The following is a 23767-nucleotide window of genomic DNA, read 5'->3' as shown; positions in this document are numbered from 1 at the left end:
TCTTCAGCACATACTTGGGTTTATAGAATACACAAATTTAAAAAGACAATAAAAGTACAAAGGAAGAGAAGAGGGTGGTAAATGGAATTTTTTTACATTATTTCCATTATTGTAAGGCTTTCTTTCTTTGTTTTTTCTTTTTTTTTTTGGGGGGGGGGGATAGGGTCTCACTCTGTCACCCAGGCTGGAGTGCAGTACTGTGATCTCAGCTCACTGCAACCTCCACCTCCCCGGGCTCGAGCTATCCTCCCACCTCAGCCTCCCCGGTAGCTGGGACTACAGATGCCTGCAACTACGCTCAGCTAATTTTTGTATTTTTTGTAGAGATGAGGTTTCACCATGTTGGCCAGGCTGGTCTCAAACTCCTGAACTCAAGCAACACCCTCCTCAGCCTCCCAGATTGCTGGGATTACAAGCATGAGCAACCATACTTGGCCACCATTATTGTAAGGCTCTTATATTGTTCCTAAAATAATATATCATTGTGCAAAGGTAGACTGTGATAAAGATGCATATCATAATCTCTAGAGAAACCACTAAAATAATAAAACAGAAAAAAGCTAAAAAATTAATAGAGGAAATAAAATGCACCAAAATATAATCAGTTGATACAAAAGAAAGCAAGAGAGGAGGAAGAGAGGAACAAAGAACAAATAAGATAAATAGAAAACTAATAGCAAAATAAGACACTTAAATCCAACCAGATAAATAATTATATTAGATGTAAATTGATTAGACATTCCAATTAAAATATCAGAGAATGTTAGACTAGATAAAAAAGCAGAGTTCATCAATACACTGTATAGAATAAACACATTGTACATATAGAAACAGGTTGACAGTTTAAAAAAAGTGGAAAAGATATACAATACAAACTTTGAGCATAAGAAAACTATTGTGGCTATTTAAATATCAGATAAAGTGGACTTCAACACAAAGGGCATCTATGGTGATAAAGAGAGAGATTTTAGAATGATAGAAAGGTGAATCCACCAATAAAGACATAACAATCTTAAGTGTGTTCACATTTAATAACAGAGCTTCAAAATCTATGAAGTGAAAATTGACAGAACTAAAGTGAGAAATAGACAAATCCATAATTGAATTGGAGACTTTAAGAATCTAAATTTGAAGAACACGATCAGCCAACTTGATCCAATGAATATTTTTTATCGCTAAATATACTCAATCACTTTTAAAAAACAATTTATTTAAAAAATTAGAGACAGGATCTCACCGTGTTGCCCAGGCTGGTCTCGAACTCCTGGGCTCAAGCAGTCCTCCTGCCTTGGCCTCCCAAAGTGCTGGGATTACAGGTGTGAGCCACCACACCTGACCTCAATGCACTTCTGTTCTGGCTTTATTGAGGTATAACTATATATAATAAAATTCACCTATTTTAAATGATCAGTTTGATGGAATTTAATAATTATATACAACTGTATTACCACCACCACAGTCAGCAGAACACATCTATCACCCTATACATTTCCTCATGCTGTTTCCAGTTGATCCTGTCTTTTGACCCCCATTGCTTGGCAATCACTATATGGTTTCTATAATTGAAGTTTGCCTCTTTTAACTCTTCATATAGATATAATTATGCAGAATGTAGTTTTTTTTATGTTCAGCTTCTTTCATATAGCATAATGGGTTTTTTTTTGATATTTATTTAGAGTGTTGCATGTATCAGTATTCCAAAGTAACTACCACCCAGCAGCAACAAGGACACCACCCTCCCGCAGTGTCAATGGAAGCCACATGGGGAGCAAAGACAAGGCACTCCTACTCCTCTAGCCAGGGAGGTATCAGGAGAGGGCTGATGGGAGCTAGAACTCCCAGCACTCCCCAGCAGTAATGAACCCCCCTGAGATGGTTTTGATGTTTGTCCTGTCCAAATCTCATATTGAAATACAATCCCTAATGTTGGAGGTGGGGCCTGGTGGGAAGTGTTTGGGTCATGGGGTTGGATCCGTGCTGTCCTTGAGATATGAGTTCTCAGGAAATCTGGTTGTTTAAAAGTGTGTGGCACCTCCCCCCAGCGCCTTGCTCCTGCTCTGGACATGTGACCTGCCTGCTCCTGGTTCGCCTTCTGCCACGAGTAAAAGCTCCCCAAGGCCTCCCCAGAAGCTGAGCAGATGACAGCGCCATGTTTCATGTACAACCTTGCAGAACGATGAGCTCATTAAACCTCTTTTCTTTATAAATTACTCAGCCTCACATATTTCTTTATAGCAATGCAGAAACGGCCTAACAACTCCCCCCACCTCAGATATTAATGGAGGATGAGGTGGGGAACTGGACTTCTACTTTCGTCTTGTAGTAATGAGGTGACATCCCCATTTCCTTTGCAAGAGCACTGAAAGAAGTCAGCAAAAACAAGTTTTAAATAAGAGCCAAAATCTCGTAATACAGTACCCAAAATGTCCAGGTTCCAAACGAAAGTCACTTGTTGTATAAGACAAGTGGAAGGTCTCACACTGACTTTTTTTTTTTTTTGAGACATTTTCGCACTCTGTCATCCAGGCTGGAATGCAGTGGTGCGATCTCGGCTCACTGTAACTTCTGCCTCCCGGGTTCAAATGATTTTCGTGCCTCAGCCTCCTGAGTAGCTGGGATTACAAGCATGCCATCACACCCAGCTACTTCCTGGAGGTAGAAGCCCTATCTTACAAGCTCAGTGCTCTCTGATGATGTCCCGGATCATGATAAAAGTTTTTTTTCAAACTTTTTCTCAAAAGCTTTTTTTGTTGGTTTGTTAGTAGAGATGAGGTTTTGCCATGTTGACCAGGCTGGTCAAACTGACTTTTGATGCTTAATATTAAGATGACAGTGATGTGTCACACTGGAAACAAACGAAAAAAGTAGAAAACCTCAGCAAAGAAACAGAAGACTTAGCAAAGTAATAGAAGGTACAAAGAAGAATCAAATGAAAATTGTATAACTGAAGAATATTATACAACGGATGGGTTCAACAGCAAATGGAGAAGGCAGAAGGATCAGTGAACCGGGACATGGAACAATGGAAATTACCCACTGTGAACAACAGAGAGAGAATAGACTGAAAAGGTAAATAGAGCTGCAGGGACAGGGGGAACTACAGCAAAAGAGCTAACATCTGTATCACTGAAATTATGCAAGGAGAGGAGAAAGAAAGTGGGACATAAAATTATTCAAAGAAATAATGGCTGAAAACTTCCCAAATTTGGCTATATATATAATAATAGGTAGTATATATCATATACAGTATAATATATACACTATAGTATATATCATATACAGTATAATATATGTACTGTATAGTATATATCATATACAGTATAATATATGTACTGTATAGTATATATCATATACAGTATAATATATACTGTATAGTATATCATATACAGTATAATATATACTGTATAGTATATCATATACAGTATAATATATACTGTATAGTATATCATATACAGTATAATATATACTGTATAGTATATCATATACAGTATAATATATACTGTATAGTATATCATATACAGTATAATATATACTGTATAGTATATCATATACAGTATAATATATACTGTATAGTATATTATATACAGTATAATATATACTGTACAGTCTATATAAGTATACAGTATAATATATACTGTACAGTCTACATCACATACAGTATTATATATACTGTGCAGTCTATATTATATACAATATAATACAGACTGTACAGTCTATTACATACAGTATAATATAGACTGTGTGGTATATTATATACAGTATAATATAGACTGTACAGTATATATAATATATATGTATATATAGTATACTGTAGTATATGTATATATAGTATACTGTAGTATATGTATATATACTGTATATATAGTATATGTAGTATACATATATACATATATACATACATATATACATATATGTATACTGTATATATATACTGTAGTATATTATATACGTATATATAATATACTGTACAGTATATATATTATATACAGTATAATATATACTGTACAGTATATATATTATATACAGTATAATATATACTGTATAGTATATATAGTATATACAGTATTATATATTATATATACTGAAGGCATATATATACTATTTTCTTTTGTATAAAATATATATATAGTATATATATATTATTTTCTTTTGTATAAAAGCAGGGACTCAGACAGATACTCTTTGTACACCCATGTTTATAGCTGCATTACTCACAATAGCCGAAAGGTAGAAACAACCCAATGTCTATCAACAAATGAATGGATAAACATGATATGGTATATCCATACAATGGAATATTATTGTGTAGTATATCTGTATTTTTGTATAGTATATATAATATATACTATATAAAAATATATATTATATATATACCACACACACACACATATATATACATGTTGGCTCTCTGAGGCCTCCCCAGAAGCCGAGCAGATGCCAGCACCATGCTTCCTGTAAAGCCTGCATAACCATGAGCTAATTAAACCTCTTTTGGCTTATATATACATATATGTATATTTGGTATATATATATATGAATGAACATATCTATGTGTATATATGTGTGTGTATATATGTGTATATATGTGTATATATGTGTATACATATGTGTATATACGTGTGTATATATATGTGTATATATGTATGTGTATATTATAAATCTACAGACCCAAGAAGCTGAGTGAACTCCAAATATTGCTAGGGTAAACCAAGGAAATCCACACCAAGACATATCATGGCCAAACTTCTCAAAACATAAGACAAAAAAAAGAAATCTTGGAAAATATTTATTCAAGAGAAAGAGAAATGAACCTTACCTATGGAGAAGAAATAACTCAAATGATATCAGATTTTTCACCAGAGACCATGGAGGCCAGAAAGTAGGTGCATAGCATTTCTCAAGTGCTCAAAGAAAATAACAGAATTCTATGTCCACCAAAAATAAGAACCAAGGGGAAATCAAGACCTTCTCAGATGTTGGAAAACTAAGAGAATTTGTTGCCTGCAGACCTGGTCTCAAAGAATGATTAAAGGAAGTTCTTGGCCAGGCATGGTGGCTCATGCCTATAATCCCAACAATTTGTGTTGCCTAGGCCGGTGGATCACCTGAGGTCAAGAGTTTGAGACCAGCCTGGCCAACATGGTGTAAACCCGTCTCTACTAAAAATACAAAAAATTAGCCGGGTGTGATGGTGGGTGCCTGTAATCCCAGCTACTCAGGAGGCTGAGGCAGGAGAATCACTTGAACCTGGAAGGCGGAGGTTGCAGTGAGCTGAGATGGCGCCATTGCACTCTAGTCTGGGCAACAAGAGCAAAACTCCATGTCAACAAGAAAAAAAAATTATACCTGATAGCTGAAGGAAAAGTTAAAACACTGATGTGGTTCTAAATGTATGTAGAGAAAATATTGAAAGAAGTATTTTAAACTGGGTAAGGCAAAGGGGCATGAAGTAAGGTTTCTATGCTTTGCTGGAATTGGTTAAATGGCAATACCAGTGGATTATAACTTATAAGTTATGTACATGCAATGTAATACCTAGAGCAATTACTGAAAAAAGCCATGCAAGTGACAAAAACCAAAATGCTAAAAAAATGGACCAAGGCCCTGGATAGACATTTCTCCAAACAAGATACGCAGATGGCCAATAAACACATGGAAAGATGTTCAACATCAATAATCATTAGAGAAACGCACATCAGAATCACAGTGGGATACCACTTCACACCTATTAGGATGGCTATTATTTAAAAAAATCACAGAAAATAAGTGTTGGTGAGGATGTGGTGAAACTGGAACCCTTGCACATCGTGGGAATGTAAAATAGTGCAGCCTCTGTGAAAAACAGTATGGCCATTTCTCAATAATAATTTTCAAAAAGCGCAGAATTACCTTATGATCCAGCAGTTCCACTTCTGGGTATATACCCAGAACTGAAAGCAGGGACTCAGACAGATACTCTTTGTACACCTATGTTTATAGCTGCATTACTCACAATAGCCAAACGGTAGAAACAACCCAATGTCTATCAACAAATGAATGGATAAACACGATATAGTATATCCATACAATGGAATATTATTCAGCCTTAAAAAGGAATTATGACACATGCTACAACATGGGTGAGCCTTAAGGACACAAAGCTAATCACAAAAGGATAAATATTCCATGATACCGCTTGTATGAGCTATCCAGATTAATCAAATTTATAGAGACAGAAAGCAGAATGATGGTTTCCAGAGGCTGTGGGAGGAGAGAATGAAGTTATTTTGTAATGAATACAGTGTTTCAAAACTGTAAAACTTCTGACAAGCTTGTCCAACCTGCCTTATTTTGTTGTTGTTCTTTTTTTGTTTGTTTGTTTGTTTTAAGCTTTTAGCAGCCTGAAGCCATGGTTTTTAGTTTCTGTCTCTAGTGATGAGTGGAAAAGAGGGATGAGGAAGGGGCTTTACTGGCCCAACCAGAAACAGAAACTAAGAACCCATGACTGTATTCTCTTCCTTGGACACTTCTGTGAGAACAAAGCAAACTAAACATACGAGAAACTCTTTGGGGTCTAAGGCTATGCAGAGAGCTTAACCCGATCATCCAAAGGAAAAATTTGATAAATTTAACTACATCAAAATTAGAAATGTTTGCTTGGTGATATATAGTTAAGAGGCTGAAAAGACAAGCTACAGACGGGGAGAAATATTTGCAAACAGCGTAACTGGCAAAGAACTGACATCTAGAATTTGCAAAGAACTTTCAAAACTCAACTGTAAAAAACCAAATAATACAAGTAGAAAACAGGCAAATGACAGGAAAAGATAGTTCACCAAAGAGGATATAGAGATGGCAAATTAGCATGTGAAAAGATGTTAAACATCACTAGCCATTAGGGAAATAGAAATTAAAACCACAATGAGCTATTACTATGTCCCTGTCAGAATGGTTAAAATAAAATAAACAGTGACAACACCAAATGTTGGCAAAGATGTGGAGAAACTGGATGATTCATACATTGTTGATGGAAGTGCAAAATAGTACAATCACTTTGGAAGACAGGTTGACAGTGTCTTAAAAAGCTAAGCATTGCAAATACTGGGCAACCCAACAGTTGCACTCCTGTATGGTTACCTGAGAATAATCAGAAGTGAATAGAAGTGACTCACCCCCCTTAAAAAAAAATAAGAATAACGGCCGGGCGTGGTGACGCACACCTGTAATCCCAGAACTTTGGGAGGCCCGAGATGGGCGGATCATGAGGCCAGGAGTTCGAGACCAGCCTGGCCAAAATGGTGAAACCCCATCTCTACTAAAAATACAAAAAAAAAAAAAAAAAAAATTAGCCAGATATGGTGGCACACGCCTGTAATCCCAGCTACTCAGAAGAATTGCTTGAACCCGGGAGGCAGAGGTTGCAGTGATCCGAGATCGCTCCACTGCTCCCCAGCCCAGCCTGGGTTACAGAGTGAGACTACATCTCAAAAAAAAGAAAAAAAAACCCAAAAATAAGAATAACTCATCAGCAGCAATAACTCTCATTGAGCACCTGCTCTGCCAGACACTGCGCTAATCACATTACATGTGTTATCTCATTTAAACTTCCTAACAACCTTCTTGTCTGGTGTAGACTATTTTTAAAAATTTAACTTTTAAGTTCAGGGGTACATGTGCAGATTTGTTGTATAGGTAAACTTGTGTCATGGGGATTTGTTGCACAGATTATTTCGTCATCCAGGTATTAAGCCTAGTGCCCATTAGTTATTTTTCCTGATCCTCTGTCTCCTCCCACCCTCCAGCCTCCCATAGGCTTCAGTGTCAGTTGTTCCCCTCTATGTGTCCATGTGTTCTCATCATTTAGCTCCCGCTTATAAGTGAAAACATGCGGCATTTGGTTTTCTGTTCCTGTGTTAGTTTGCTAAGGATAATGGCCTCCAGCTCCATCCATGTTCCCGCAAAAAACATGATGTCCTTCTTTTTTGTGACTGCATAGTATTCCATGGTGTAGACTATTATTATCACCACTCCACTTTCAGGCTCAGAGGCTGTTGTTGAAGGCCACGCAGTGAGTAAGTGGCCGTGCCAGGATTTGAACCCGGGTAATAGGAGTACGCGCCTTAATCCTCGCCTTGTCATCCTCAGCCATCTCACAGGCGAGTAAACAGAGGCGAGGAGAGGATAAGCCAGCTGCCCCAGGCCACATTGCTGGGAAGCCAAGAGGCAAGGCCACACTGCCCTGCGGCTGGGGTCCCGTTTGCTAATTCTAGTGCCTAACTTTCTCCAACGTTCCCGGGCCTCTTTCACCCGGTCCCAGGGGCGCAGGCACCACCCTTTTCCTCCAGGAGGAGCAGGGAGAGGGCGGGTTCCCCAGCGCAGTCCCCTCCCCGACCCTCCCCCAGGCTTTAAGCCGGCGCCGGGGCCAGGCGGGGCAGTCCCGGGCCGGCCCGTACCGCCAGGCGATCGCGCTGATGGCGGCGCTGGCAGCAGCGGCCAAGAAGGTGTGGAGCGCGCGGCGGCTGCTGGTGCTGCTGTTCACGCCGCTCGCGCTGCTGCCGGTGGTCTTCGCCCTCCCGCCCAAGGTAACGCCTCCTCCGCCTGTGCGCCCCCGGTCAACCACAGGCGGGATCCTCTTCTCCCAAGCCTCCAAGTTGGGAGACCGCTGAGGTCCCAGTGTAGACAGGCTCCACCAGACCCCCTCGCCTTCCCTCCCTTGCACCTGCCGCGGACCGCTGTGAACGCTCCTAACGCCTCTTCCCTCTTCCCAGCTGCTCCTTAGAGCTTGAGTCCCACCCTGCCTTCTGGATCTCACTTCCATGGGAATAATTTCGTTTCGTTTCAGTGACAGGTTCTCGCCGGTCACCCAGGCTGGAGTGCAGTGATGTGATCATAGCTCACTGCAGCCTCCAACTCCTGGACTTAAGCGATCCTCCTTCCGCAGCCTCCCTAGTGGCTAGAACTACAGGTGCATGCCCAGCTAATTTTTTTTTAATAGAGATAGGGTCTCACTATGTTGTCCAGGCTGGTCTGGAACTCCTGGACTCAAGCAATTCTCCCACCTTGGTCTCCCATATACTGGGATTACAGACGTGAACCACTGTGCCTAGCAGAATTCTTTCTTTCCTGAGCTCTAATTCTGTGCTTGGTGCTGTATTGCACATTTCACGCGACAGTCACAATGAACACTTACTGGGTGCCAAGCTGTGTGACATGGTGCAAGTCACTTAACCTCTCTGAACTTCAGTTTACTCATGTGTAAAAATGGGAGAAATGATAGTGCCCACCCATAGGGCAGCGGTGAATATCAATGAGGCAATATATGTAAATCTCTTATAACTAAACCTTGTACAGAATAAATGCCCAATAAGCAGTGACTGGTCTTTTTCTGCACCAGGTCCTTACGTGATGAGGACGGTAAGATTCATGAGTGCTTACTACGGGTGAGGATTTGCCTTTTGTGTATCACTTTATTTAATCATTTCAACGCGTCTCAGAGGGGAAAGATTATTTGACCCATTTTCCAGAGGAGAAAACCAAGGCTCGGGGAGAGAAAGTGACTTGCTCAGAGTCACACAGCAAGTGACTATGTCGGTATTCAGTCCCCGGCTTGTCAGAATCCAGAACCCTAGCTGTTTTCAGTCTCCCCAAGGAAGTAACCCCTGTAAGATCAAAGGCCGCAGGTGGAGTTCAGGAGTCATAACTGAAATCAACACTAGTGGGGGCTGGAAGGAGATGGTACCACAGGTCCCTTTTGGGTTCTTCACCTGTGCCCTGCCCAGCCCAGCCAGGGCATCATGAGAGGGCACTGGGCTTGTAAGATAAGGCTTCTACCTCCAGGAAGTTGCTTCACCATCTCTCAGTGAGGTATTAAATGTTCACAAAAATAAAAGTAAAGAGGAGGTATAATTTAGTGGTGCATTACCCAGCACCGATCAGCTGAGACCAGGGAGCTTCTCCTGGAAGAAGGAGCCCTCCTTGGGCACATGGAGTAAGAAGGTGACACCAGTGGTTCCAAGGAGACCCAGGGCTAACACACAGCAAGTTCATTAGTGTGGAATTATCTAAGCTATTAGACTTTCTCGACGTGGAAGAGAAAAACACAATAAATGATGGAAGAAGGATGAGGTCACCTTTGCAAAACTCAGCCCACCCCAGGCCACTTTCTGACCTGTGGATCTTAAGATCTTGGACCAATCTCCTTTCCTCTTTGGGTTTTGCTTCCCTGTAAGTGGAGCGATTACACCGCTAGCTTCTGGGATTGATGTGAGAGGTTGAGTAAGGCTTTGTGAAACATCTTTGGTGGAAGTGTGGGTGGCTGAGCCTTGACTGATTGCTGTCTGCGAGGCCATAGGCAGAGCTCTCTGGCAAGAAGAGATAAAACACAAGGTCTCTATTCTCTCAGTAGGGGTCCCGACAGCTTCTCTCTGCTCTGTTCTCTAGCAAGAACATGAACCCAGGAGCAGATCCAAGGGTTAAGGGGCGGGGAGCATTTACTACTTGAGGGGGACTCTTGAAGAAAATGAATACAGATTTACAAATACAGGATTCGGTACGAGGCTTGGGAGAGGTCTGAAGCTTGAGCTTCACAAAGGATCCTCTTCCTATCTGAACTCCAACATGCACAACTGAATGGAAAGCAGGGAGAGATAACAGGGAGAGCCCCTGGGATGTAACTAATCCCTTATGATGGTGCTAAGCCTGATGAAGAAGGTGTTTTATTGAGTGCTTAGCTCTTACCATGTGCTAGGGGCCATGCTAGGAGCTTGTCAGGCTTGTCCCATGTAATGCCCACAACAACCAGAGAGGCAGCTGTTATTTGCATCCCTATTTGACAGGTGAAGAAACGGAAACTCAGCGGGGTTAGGTGACTTGCCTAAGGTTACACAGCTGCTGCAAAGCCAGAATGCAGAGTCTGTACTCCTTTATGTGTGTGTGTGTGTGTGTGTGTGTATGTGTGTGTGTGTGTGTGTGTGTGTGAGAGAGAGAGAGAGATAGGGTCTTGCTCTGTAACACAGGCTGGAGTGCAGTGGCACGATCTTGGCTCACTGCAACCTCCACCTCCCAGGCTTAAGCCATCCTCCTGCCTCAGCCTCCCAAGTAGCTGGGACTATCAGCTCCTGTCACCACACCCGGCTAATTTTTATATTTTTAGTAGAGACGGGGTTTCACTATGTCACCCAGGCTGGTCTCAAACTCCTAGACTCAAGCGATCCACCAGCCTCGGCTACGCAAAGTGCTGGGATTACAGGCAAGAGTCTGTACTTCTTTCTAACTGCTGTGCCTTACATGCTCTTCTTAGTTATAATTCAATACAAACCACCCCTTTGTTCCCTACAGTTCCCTTGTGGGGACCCTTTATATGGCTCTAGATGTCACTGCCTCTTTAAGTGGTTGATGAACCAGGGCCTCCTCCCAGGAGGCAGGCCTGGCTCTTTGGAGGACCTTCGCCTCCCTCAAAATCTCTGTTGGCATACCTGAAGCCTCCTCTCCCATATAACAATATTTATATGATTGTCATTATTAGATTCTCTGACATTAAGAACAGACGTGTTTCTCAATTTCATATACAATGCGAATAAGAAGTATCCTTAGAAAACATCATCATCTTTATTGATCTGGGACACACATTTAATCCATTTCCCATTTAGAAAAAAAAAAAGTGCAGCTCACTGCCAGTGCAGTATTCTCGGTGCAAAACGGGACATGGGTTAAAGCAAGCACAGTAGGTTTGTTATGCACATGGAGCTTCAAGACAATTCTGGTCATCTTCACCAGTCACTCCCTGTGAGAGCCTCCCCAAACAGAGGCTGGTGGACTAACTTCAAAACATGCTTGCTGGGCAATTCAAGACAGGCGTCCTCAGCGTCCACTCCAACATCAGATTGTCACTTCTCAGCCTCTTCCACATGGATATTCTGGCGCCATGAATGCAGGTTGTATTGTATACATGGATCACTAACAACTTGCGAAACTGCAGATATCACATCAGGAAAGAAGTTGGAGATGTTCAGTTATTTGTCATTTACCAGGCAGTGTGGAGTAGGAGACAACCCCTCTTTGGGGCCTGGGTTTCCAGCTTGATGACATCTGTCCACTGCTGCTTTGCTGTTCTAGGAGTCTGTGTGTTAAGAGGGTTGGTTTTCATGCACCTGTTCCTGGTGACTGGTGAGCTTGTCTTCGGGGAGGCTGGAGTCAATCTGCAGAGCAGAGCTGGAAGGAACAATTCTTACATTATGTCCTCTGGCTCAGAAATGCTGTCAGCAGGGATGAAAAGGAGTGGGATGAGCTCTGGAATGCATGGCTGCCGCTTCCAGCACCACTGGGGATCCTAGCTCTTGCTATGAAGAGTGCTGGGGGCTCAGGAAGTTGGGATGCTACCCCAGGGACTACATCAACGTTTTCCAAGAATGGCCATCCTGCGAGTTAGAGGTTTGGGGAGTGATCTTAGCTAGTGGGCACAGATGGGACTCTTATTAATAAAACAGGCTTACAAATAAGCTCCAGCCCCACTTGTTTGCAGAGAAGCCTTACCCCCTTTCCTGCCTTATGCCCCCTGAGAGCAAATTAAATGATACTGACCACCTGTCCAAGAGGAGTTCTTAACACTGGGGACTCACAGGTGACTCTAAAGATGCTCTGAGAAGGAAGAGTTTGGGGATGCTCTCGGCAAGGCTGCTACAGAGTGTTGTGCAAGCTGTGCACTGCACAAGGTGCTTGAGGAGGCAAGTAAGGCTGAACCAGCCTGCATTCCACATGCCAAGCTGTGCACCCTGGTGCACAGCTGGATCCACCTGAGGAAGGGCCTTTTATTCTAATTTGCACAAAGGTGTCACGGTGGCCAACAGCAGACTTACTCTGGGATAGAGATATTTGGGGGGGATGGTAGTACACCTGTAAGGTCAGAGGCCCCCTTTCTTGCATTTGCCTAATTTGTGGGCAGGTAGATGACCAGGAAGATGGTCCTTTCATTCCCAGTTTTGAGGCTTTGGAATCAGAACTGCATTCGCATTCCACATACTTGCTGGGCAAGTCATTTTCTATTTCTGGCCTTGGTTTCTTCATTTATAACACAGCCATAATATTATATTCTTTCCCAGTTATTTTCTGGCCACAGTGAGTTAATACATTGTGCCTGTACTATAAATTCTTAGTTTTTTATTTAATGCTGAAAATATGTTTTAGTTCTCCTATTTTGCAGATGATGAAACTGAGGCTCAGAGAAGTTAAATGTTGGAGAGAACATGGGCTTTAGAGTTGAGAAAACCTGGATTTGTGTCTGGCTCTGAAGAGGGGAGCCTGGGCTGGAAACCTTGAATTTCTGAGGCTGAGTCTCATTTGTGAAGTGAGGAGGACTCACACCCTCTCATTCTGTTACGAGAATTAGGGGAAGATACAGGAGGTGTCCAGAGTGGTGCTCAGCATATAGTGGGAGTTTATAATTAGAGCAATAGCCACAGATTTTCTCACATTTACAAAATGCTGTTTTACATGCATCTCAAATTTCAGCTCATTTACTCTTCACATCAGATGTAGGAAGTTCAAACAAAAATTATCCCCATTTTTAGAGATGAGGAAAGTGAGGCACAGAGAGGTTAAATTCCAAGGTCACACAGCTACTAAACACTACTTCGGTCACTCCTCCTCCTTCTCTCTTAGTCCTGGATTTTGGAAGTGAGAGCGGCCAGGAAGTGAGAGAGGCCCTTGAGTTTTCCCCAACAGAGGTTTTCCAGAAAAAAACTGCAAGTCCAGCTCTGCGGATTGAGCACCTTCTCTGGCCAGACACTGCCTGCTGATTTTACCTTCTATCATCTCATTTGAGCCTCAGGGAGCTCAGACAGGGAGTTTTCCCCCATGCACCCCAGAATGGAGTGAATCTGGTTTGGTTTCCATCATCCAAATACCACTCACATCATTTTTGCCAGAGTCCCTTACCACTCAATATTATTTACTTAATTACATTCCTGTTATTCTTTTTACATTAATGTCTTACTGCCCTCTCCTTTTAAAAAAACTTAAATGCAATGACTTTAAAAGGAGATTTTCTGTGGGTATCATGTATGGAAAACCAGGATCATCACTGATGATTAGGAGAAGAAAACTAGCAATTGATAGGTAAATATTTAACGCTGATTAATACTGGGTACATACTGCCTGGTTGAAGCTATGGGCCTGCGATCTGCCCTCTCTTTGTTGCAAGGGGAGGGATATCATCAAGTGAGGCATTAAAGACAAACTAGTACCAAACTGAGACTTTGTTTTGGAAATAATGAGAAGGAAAGAAGGATTAGAAGGGAGGTAACCTCATTGTTCCACCCAAAGTCTTCTGGAGTTGGCTTTTTATGCTTCAAGAAATACTGGACCCATAGCCTGGAAGCGTGTCTTGTCTGGGGATGCTGAGGTTGACTGATAGCCCCAGCTCCTCAATTTCCTCATCTGTACATGGATGGCCTTCTTGCCACCATGAAGCTTGGTGAGCTGTTAAGTAAAGGAAATCTCGGGCATGTGGCTGGCTGAATAGTGACCCACCAAAGGTGTCGGTGTCCTAATCCCCTGAACCAGTGAATGTTACTTTCTATGGAAAAAAGGGACTTTCCAGGTGTGATTAGGTAAAGGATCTTGAAACAGGGAGATTATTGTGCAGTATCCAGGTGGACCTGATGTAATCCACAGGCGGCTTTCTGAGAGGCAGGCAGGAGAAGTTGAAATCGGAAGGTAATAGGATGATGGAAGCAGAGGGAGAAAAAGCAATGTGATGTGGGGCTGTGAGCTGAGGAATGCAGGTGGCCTCCAGAAGCTGGAACAGGCAAGGCATGGATTCTCTCTCCTGGAGCTTCCAGGAGGAACCAGCCTGGCCAACACCTTGACTTTAGCCTAGTGAAAATGATTTCAGAATTCTGGCCTCCAAAACTCTAAAAGAATACATTTGTGTTTCTTAAGCCACTCCATTTGGGGTCATTTGTTACAGCAGCAAGAAAAGATGAATACATGGCAAAACCACCCCACCAGACTGGTTCTCCCAGGAGCGGCTGGGAAGTTTAGCCCCATGTCTCCCTCTGAATTTTGATGCATCAATTGTCCATAATTCCCAGATGGGTCCCATCATGTGGGCCCCATGTTCCTGGGATGCAAACCCTGGTGTTCAGGAGAGAGCCTGGCTTGGTCAAAAAGGTTCCAGGCTTTGGATTCATTTGGATATGAATTCATCTCTAGCCTCTGCCCTGATGAGCAGTGTGATGCAGGAAGAGTGTCTTCACCTCTCTGAACCCAGTTCCCCAGCTGAAAAATGGAAATGTCCACAGTCCTTTCTTCACAGGATTTTACAATGAATAAATAAGTTCATACATGCAAAATGTGTGTCTCAGAGGACATGTACATTTTATTTTATTTTTTTGGCAATTTAACCTTTACACATGCTTTTCTGGTTGGGATCTTTGAAATTGATTTGGAAAAAAAAATGGGAGATGCTGGTAGCATTTGGTGCAAAGGACTATGTTGAAATGGTCAGTCCCGTGCCTCAGTTTTCTCATCTGGAGATTGGGTCTAATCATCGTTCAACCTCATACTGCTGTGGGGAGGAAATGGGTTCATATGTTTGAGGCACTTACTGGAGTGCTGGCTTATAGTTAGCACTTAGTAACTGTCAGCTATTAATATTACAGTTGCCATCGTAAACTGGTGCTCATTCTAGTTTAACCCCCACAAAAAGGAAACTGAGGCCCAGAAAAGGAAGTGAATTTTCCAAAGGCTTCAGTGAGGGGCAGGGCGGAGATGAGCACTTCCATCCCCCTCTCCAGGGAGTACCCTGTCTTAGGCATTGGTCATCAATGTTTTTATTTTAATTAATTAATTATTTTTGAGACAGGGTCTTCCTCTGTTGCCCAGGCTGGTGTGCAGTGGCATGATCCCGGCTCACTACAACTTCTGCCTCCTGGGCTCAAGTGATCCTCTCACATCAGTCTCCCAAGTGGCTGGGACTACAAGCACACGTCACCACGCCTGGCTAATTTTTGTATTTTTTGTAGAGATGGAGTCATGCCACTCAACTGGTCTCAAACTCCTGGGCTCAAGCTATCCGCCCCTCTCAGCCTCCTAAAATTCTGGGATTACAGGCACGAGCAACTGTATCTGGCCTCATCAATGTTTTATGCTAAAGACATTTCATTTAATCTCTTGACAGCTAACTTCTAGATGACAGGTGAGGGGGGTCAGAGGTCAAGTTCACTTATTTCTATTCAGATCGTAGCTAGCTCTCAACAAAGGTTAAGGACAGCTCATGTTTACTGTATGTTTATTAGGAGTTCTGGTCCCCGTTTCCTTGCTGATCCATCTTCCAACCCCACTCCACCTCTCATGCCCTCTGCTCCCAGCGCTCTGGCTTTCTTACTGCTCCTTAAATATCCCAAGCTTGCTCTCATCCCAGGACCTTTGCACTTGCAGCCCCCTCGTTCTGAACCTCTGTTCTCCCAGATGTCCGCAAGTCTTGCTCCTTCCCTTCATTGATCTCCGTTCAGATCTTACCTCCGAAAAGGCCGTCCCTGCCCCTATCTTTAGACCCTATCTAAAATAGAAAATGAAAAATCCTTTACACTCCATTCTGCCTTATTTTTCTTCACGGTCTTTATCACTACCTGGCAACGTATTATGTTTTAATTATGTATCTGCTGGTGCATTATCTATATTAACCCCCTTCCCCCCTTCCCACCCATGGGGTATAAGCTCACAAGGGCAGGGATATTTTTTTTTTTGTCCTGCTTACCATTGTATCTTTGGTGCCAGCCCCGTGCCTGGCACATAGTAGGTGCTCATAAGTATGTCTCGAATAAGTGAAAGAAAGAATGCCAGTTGTGTGCTAAGTTCTTGGCATGCATTTTCTCATTAATCCTCACCATGACCCCAAGAAGGAGCTACTACGATTCTCTCCATTTGCCCAATGAAGAGCCCACGTGCAGACAGGAGGAGACCCCTGCCCACATTAGGCTGGCAGATGGCGGCAGATGGCGGCAGATGGTTCTCAGGCTGACTTCCAGACTCCTGCTGTCGCCTATCTCCCCTGGCCCTTTGCCTCCTGCAGAAAGTTGCTGACCCTGGACACTCCGGGAATAATCAGAGGCTAATTCGAGAGCCAGGTTGGCAATCCAGGGACAGGGACAGGCTGTGACTCACCGTAAAGCTCTGGGGTCAGGCTGACAAGCTGGGAAGGCTTCTTGTCTCTGGTTGGCTTTGCGCTTGGACTGGATGTGGTAAGATGAAGAGAGGAAGGAAGGGTGCTCCTGGGGAATGGGAAGCGCAAGAGGCCAGGAGCAGGAAGAGTCCTGAGCAGGGGGAGAGGGCAAGGAGTCATCTTCCCAACTCTAGATGCAGACTTCCAGTGCACAGCGACCCAGGAGGGCAGAAACTGGCAAAAGCAACCATAGACTGAGCACCTACTAAGCGCCAGGTGTTATGCTGGGTACTTCACATGCATTGCAGCCAATGCTTAGAACATCCAGACAAGGGAGGCCTATGAGGAGGCACCGAGGGTCAGCACAGTGCAGTGTTGTAGCCCAAGGTCCCCAGCTGGTGAGTAGAATTTAAAATGACACCCATGCTCACAGCTGTGGCCCCAGGGCCCTGTGTCATCCAGCTCCTGCCCACCTGTCCCCTTGTGTCTGTTTTAATGGTAATGGAATTTGTTTTATTTGGGTATGATAAACACACAGACACAGAAATCAGCATTATCAAAGAAGTTTTTATACTCAGATGGCCCTAGAAGCAGGAGGCATACCATGCCACACAGGGCCACACAGGGGAGCAGCAGGGTCTGTCGGGAGGCAGAGGGAATAAGAGGAAACGTGGGCATGAGCCTTTACTGTGGGCAATATGTTCGGGCAAGGCAGGGTGTGCAGGTTTAGGACTGGCTAGTTAGTTTGAATCATTTCAGTGGGTCTGGGGGCATAGGGGCTTCCCCTAGTTGTCTTGTACCTGGCTCTGGGGTGATTAGGGCAGGTGGATTCATGTGAGATCCCTCAAAAAGAGGTGGTAGGGAGTATGGGGTCTCGATTGGTTGTTTCACATATGAAGGAATGCTTGCAGGCTAGTAGTTTATTCTTTCTAGGAATTTGCTAGCCCTGGGAAGGGGCAGTCCCTCCAGGGTCTCAGAGCCTCAAATACAGAAATTAGAAAACCTGATTTTACAACTTCCCCTGCCCTTGTCTTTTCTCACTGTGCCCCAGCCTCATGTGCCTTCTTTTGGTTCTTCAAAGCTGCCAAGCTTGCTCCTGCCTCAGGCCCTTTGCACTTGCTTCCCTGGACCATTCTTGCCCCAGATCTTCCACAGCTGGGTGCTTCTGGTCATTTAGGCCTTGGCTCCAATGGTACCTCCTCCTAGAAGTCCTCCTGCTTCTCAAGCACACCTGCCCTCTTCATCCCACAAATCACTCTCTAAAACAGCCTTCTGTTTTATTCCTTCATGGCATTCATCCTGATCTGAAATGATCATTTCTTTGTCTAGTGTCTGCCTCTCCCCCTTGGCTGTGAGTGACCTAAGAGCAGGTTTATGCTTATAGTGTGCTCTATGGCAGCCCTGTACCCAGAGTAGTGCCTGACACATAGTAGGTGCTCAGTGAAAAAGTATTCATTCCATGAATTTGGATTTGAACACAAGTTCTGATTTCAGAACCTGTACGGGGTCTAAAACCCCAGACTGCTTCCTGGTTTGCGTAACGTTTGAGCAGGAATCAGGGTTTCCAGCCCTTTCTATTTTGAGCTGGGAAGACTGAGGCCCAGAAGGGGACTGGAGAGACTTTGCTAACCTCTCCCAGCCTAGTGGACCCAGATCCCTCATCTGTGCCCCTCCATGCTCTCCCTACCCGGTTTGACCCATTGCCCCATCCCTCAAGTGGGCACATAGACCCGCTGACCCCAGAACAATTCCTCTGAGGTCCAGCCAACTTTCCACTTTCCCGGAGCTCCTGCCAGGTGTGTAAACAGGCTGGCGTGACTTCCAGTGATGCAGCAGGGAGCAAGATCGTGTTTCCTGACCCAACTCAACAGGACAGTGCTCTCTGGACTGATGAGCAGAATTCTCTGACACCGCCAGACCTTGAAGACACGAAGTCAGCACCCTAGCTAGGGGCAGACCTGGCCCGGGCCTGGAACAAGTCAGACACGTGTGTCCAAACTGCTTTTTTCAGCTGAGATGCACTGGGGACTTGGGAAGAGCCACATGAGGTCACACCACTTCCCGGCAAGTGATTTCCCTCCCCTGAGCCTCAATTTATTCATCTGCAAAGTGGGCATAATGATACCTGCTGGGAAGGCTCAAAGGTGCTGACACGCAGTAGGTGCTTAATAAAGGATTGCTGCTGTTGCTATTATCTGCAGAGAGTCCAGACTCTCTGCTCTTTTTGTTTGTCCTTGAAATTCACACGAAGAGGGACAGCCATGGGAAGGTGCCTGTGGTGCTGGTAGGAGCACCCATAGGCAGAACACAACAGTGAGCCCCAGCTAGAAAAAGACATTGGAGCAGAGCCGGGGAGGCCAGCAAGCCCCTGCCCTGCCGGTCAACCTGGTGAAGTCCCTTCCCCACCCTTTTAGCTCTACTCTCCTGCAGGACCTTACCAGCCCTCTGCGCAGAGAGAGGACTTCGATTTCCACTGTACTCAGCTCCCCTACAAGAAAGTGCCGACACCTGGGAGGCTGTAGGAAGTGACCTCAGCTTTGTTGATGTCCTGGGCCACATCACATGCCTTATTCTTGCACTCTCCTCTGTCCCCCGAGGAGACTTCAAAAGAGCCACAGCCAGCACCTCTAGCATCTACTAAGTGCCAGGCATGGTTCTAAGCACTCATGATATGCTTGTGAGCTTTTTTATGTTCACTGTGGCTCTGTGGGCTGGTGTGTTATTACTGACATTTGCAGACGAAGAAACTGAGGCACCGAGTGGTTCCCTCACTTGCCCAAGCTCCCACAGCTGGGAAGTGGCCGAGGTAAGATTCAAACCTCACCATTCTGGCTCCAGGGTCTGTGTTCTCAGCCATGCAGTATGACCCAGAGGTGATGGACCCATTTTACAGATGAGGAAGTTGAGGCTCAGAGAGATTAAGCCATTTGCCCAGCATCTCATAGCCATTGACAAAATAGTGGGGTTGGCACTTGAGCCTAGGTCTGCCTCATTGGAAACCCAAACTCTTTTGTGGTTCAGTGGAGGCCATCAGGGAAGGGAGCGATTGTGCTGGATGGGGAAGGTGGGACATCAAGACAGGCTTCCCAGAGGACAGTGATGTCATCCAGACACTGGAGTGGGAGTTTGGAAATCTCAGAGGGCTTTCTGAAGATTGGAGTTTATGGAGACAAGAACTAACACAAGTGATCAGGCAGTGGAGGGAGGAGCTTGGGTTCGGCTGCTTGGTTCCAACTCTGGTTTTTTGTTTTTTTGTTTTTTTGGTTTTTTTCTGAGACAGAGTCTCACTCTGTTGCCCAGGCTGGAGTGCAGTGGCACGATCTCAGCTCACTGCAACCTCCGCCTCCCAGGTTTAAGCAATTCTGCCTCAGCCTCCCGAGTAGCTGGGATTACAGGCACCTGCCACCACGCCAGGCTAATTTTTGTATTTTTAGTAGAAACGGGGTTTCACCATGTTGGCCAGTCTGGTCTCGAACTCTTGACCTCAGGTGATCTGCCCCTCACCCCCACCCCCCTGCCCTTAACCTCCCAAAGTGCTAGGATTACAGGCGTGAGCCACCATGCCTGGCCCCAGTCCTGGCTTTTTAACCAACTGTGTGACCTTGGGCCAGTTACTTAACCTCTTCGTGCTTCAGTTTCTTCATCTGTGAAATGGGTATGATAATAATAGATGATGTTTGTAGAGAGCTAAAAAAACATTGGCTACCTTCAGGGACAAAGCACCTACTGTGTCGCAGGCCTTAGAGGATATGCTTTAAATCAGTGAGTCTTCCAGCAAATTTGCTCCCAGGAGACATGTGGCAATGTCTGGAGGCAATTTTGATTCTCACAGTGGGAGTAGGGTGCTACTGGCATCTGATGGGTAGAGGCCAGCGATGCTGCTAAACACCCTCCCATGCACAGGACAGCCCCCCACAGAGAATCCTCAGGCCCCAAATGTCCGCGGTGCCAAGGCTGAGAACCGCTGCCCCAAATGCATTAGTTCCTTTGATCTCTCTGACACGTGGAGGCAGGCATGGTCCAGAGTCCCATTTTGCTGATGAGGAAACTGAGGCCTAAAGAGGGGCATGCTAGCCTGTGAGCACACAGCCTGGAGGCAGAGGGCCTGGCAGGAAGGAGAGGATTTGGAAATGCAGGGCATTCCAGGCACGAGAAAGGCACTCCTGCCCTCAGGGCCTCTCAGAGGCCAGCTCCAGGCTTCACTGGACGGAGCTGACGGCCCCTCTGTCCGCAGCAGTCAGGACAGCCGCCTTTCCCTTGCTAGGGAAATAACAAAAGAGGCCCTTGTTCGCCGCCGCCCACGGCCCCGCTTCTCTCCTGGGTTTTACCATGCCTCCTGCACCTTTCTCTCTTGACAAGCTGAAAGTGCTGGCTCTGGGGGCCTAGGGGTGAGGGGCAGAGCAAAGGAACATTCTTCCAGCTCTTTTTATTAACCAATCCCTGCCCCAGCCTGTGGCCCCGCTCAGAATTCTCTGGAAAGGGCTGGAACCAGTCAGCAAAACTTCTCATGGTGCCTGAGTTGGGCGTTTTACACCACAGAGTGCCCAGCCGCAGGTATGGGCTCCTCACTGGGCAGCCAGTCCTGCTCTGCCAGTGTCTGGGACCAGAATCGTGGGACATCCAGGCCTGGGGAGTCCTGCCAAGGCCTGGCTCTCACCTTTCTTTGGGGTTGATAGGGGAGACTGAGGCCTGTTCTGAGAGGACATTCTCACCCCCACTAAACCAGACATCAACCGCTTCCTGCTCCTGACTTTTTTCTTGATATGGAACCTGTACTTCTCCAGACCCTGGCTTTCCCTTCCTAGAGAAGGAGCCTGCCTCACCTGGGGTGGTATGTCCCCCTGAATCACCTCCTGGGGGATGGAGGAGGAGGGACAGCACCATGAGAGCATGAACCCTAGCACCAGCCTTCCTGGACTCCAGCTTTGCTCTCCCACTTCCTAGCTGTGTGACCTTGGGCAAGTTACTTAGCCTCTCTGTGCCTCAGTCTCCTCCTCTGTAAAATGAAAATACTGATCGGGCCTAACTCATAGGAATGTTGTGATGATGGGTTCACATGCCCAGAGTACTTAGGGGTGTATCTGGCCCAGAACAGGTGCTAGGTCAATGTTTGCTATTGTCAGTAGTAGTCGTAGTGGTATTGTTTGCCTTACAAATGACCTCTTGGCCCTGGGGTCTGGAAGGGCATTATAGGGGATGAGGTTTGTTCTTGAATCCTCTTGACCTCCTCCCTTTACTCACTGTGTGGGTTCTTGGGTTCTCTGAGCCTCCATTTCCTCCTGTATAAAATGGAATAAAGCTCATCTCCTAGGGGCTGCTGGGAAGATTAACTGAGATGATGCTTATTCAGAGAAAAATCTCAGTGAGAGTTCCCTTGTCATTCTTATTCTTGGCCAAAATCCCGAAGTCCCAGATGCCTGAGAAGCGAGGGACTGTGAGCAGTGGAGGCGCATTGTCAAAAGGGGCTTGGAAACAGGCCGGGCCTTTCCAGCAGGGCCGGCTTCCCCCAGGACCAGCTTCCCCTTCACTCACTGGTTTCCCAACTGCGCCCCCTCCCAGGATGCCTGGGGCAGGACCAGCTGGACCCAGGTGGAGCTGGGATGATGGTAAACATAAGAGAATTGAAAATGTCAGGCCGGGCGCGGTGGCTCACGCCTGTAATCCTAGCACTTTGGGAGGCTGAGGTGGGCAGATCACAAGGTCAGGAGATCGAGACCAACCTGGTCAACATGGTGAAATCCCATCTCTACTAAAAATACAAAAATTAGCCAGGCGTGGTGGTGGGCGCCTATAATCCCAGCTACTCAGGAGACTAAGGCAGGAGAATCACTGGAACCCAGGAGGCGGAGGCTGCAGTGAGCTGAGATCACGCCAGTGCACTCCAGCCTGGGTGACAGAGTCTGTCTCAAAAAAAAAAGAAAAAAAGAAAAAAAAAATGTCAAGGGTGGGCCAGAGCCCAGGGCCCAAGAAGCAGTGGGAGCACAGAATGTGGGCTCGGATGATCCAGGACAGAGCCAAGATTGGCCAAGAACTTCCCTGCAGGTGAAAGCCAGGCACTTCCCTTGCCAGCCTCGGTTTTCTCATCTGTCCTACAGGCCCACCAGCCTCATGGGGCTGTGATGAGGAGCCAGGGGAACCAGGTGCTTTGTAAAACAAAAAAGTGCCCTCCAAATAGTGAGAGGTTAATAGGGACCTTGTCCATCTTGTCCACCAATGCACAACAGGTGCTTAATCCACGTGTCCTGAATGATTATGGAATCAAAAGGGATATTTCCTCAGTGTTCCCTGTGTGCCAGGTGCTACCCACAAGTGACTAATACAATCAGTCAAAAAATTTCAATTGAGTACCTTCTAGGTACCAGCTACTATTCTAGGGGGACATGGCAGACAGTCACAGTGAACCGGACAGTCACAAATCCTTTCAGCTATGCAGCTGACATTCTAGCGAGGGATAAATAAGCAAGATCTATAGTATTGTTGGCAGAAAGGGGTCCCAGTGCAGACCCCAAGAAAGGGTCCTTGGATCTTGTGCAAGTAAGGATTCGGGGTGAGTCCACAGAGTAAAGTGAATTTATGAGAGAAGTGAAAAAACAAAAGAATGGCTACTCCACAGGCAGAGCAGTGGCA

The 23767-nt window shown here is 45.3% G+C and overlaps 1 protein-coding gene across 5 annotated transcripts in view; it reads left to right on the top strand.

Moving 5' to 3' along the window:
• SLC13A3 (solute carrier family 13 member 3) overlaps positions 1-23767 on the top strand; it is a 126658-nt gene that overhangs the window by 24614 nt on the left and 78277 nt on the right. For 3 of the 5 annotated variants that reach the window (NM_001193342.2, NM_001193339.2, NM_022829.6), the window contains exon 1: positions 8413-8561. The exons of the other annotated variants lie outside the window; for them this stretch is intronic. Coding sequence is in view for 2 of the 3 variants with exons in the window: in NM_001193339.2 (NP_001180268.1) it covers positions 8451-8561 (111 nt within the window). In the remaining variant the exon portion in view is untranslated. Of the gene's footprint in view, positions 1-8412; positions 8562-23767 lie in introns of those variants that run through there. 5 annotated transcript variants of the gene reach the window in all.

Source organism: Homo sapiens, chromosome 20 (genome assembly GCF_000001405.40).
Source record: "Homo sapiens chromosome 20, GRCh38.p14 Primary Assembly".
Taxonomy (NCBI): Eukaryota; Metazoa; Chordata; class Mammalia; order Primates; family Hominidae; genus Homo; species Homo sapiens.
The sequence above is the reverse complement of the archived record's forward strand: the minus strand, read 5'-3'. Positions and strand labels throughout refer to the sequence as shown.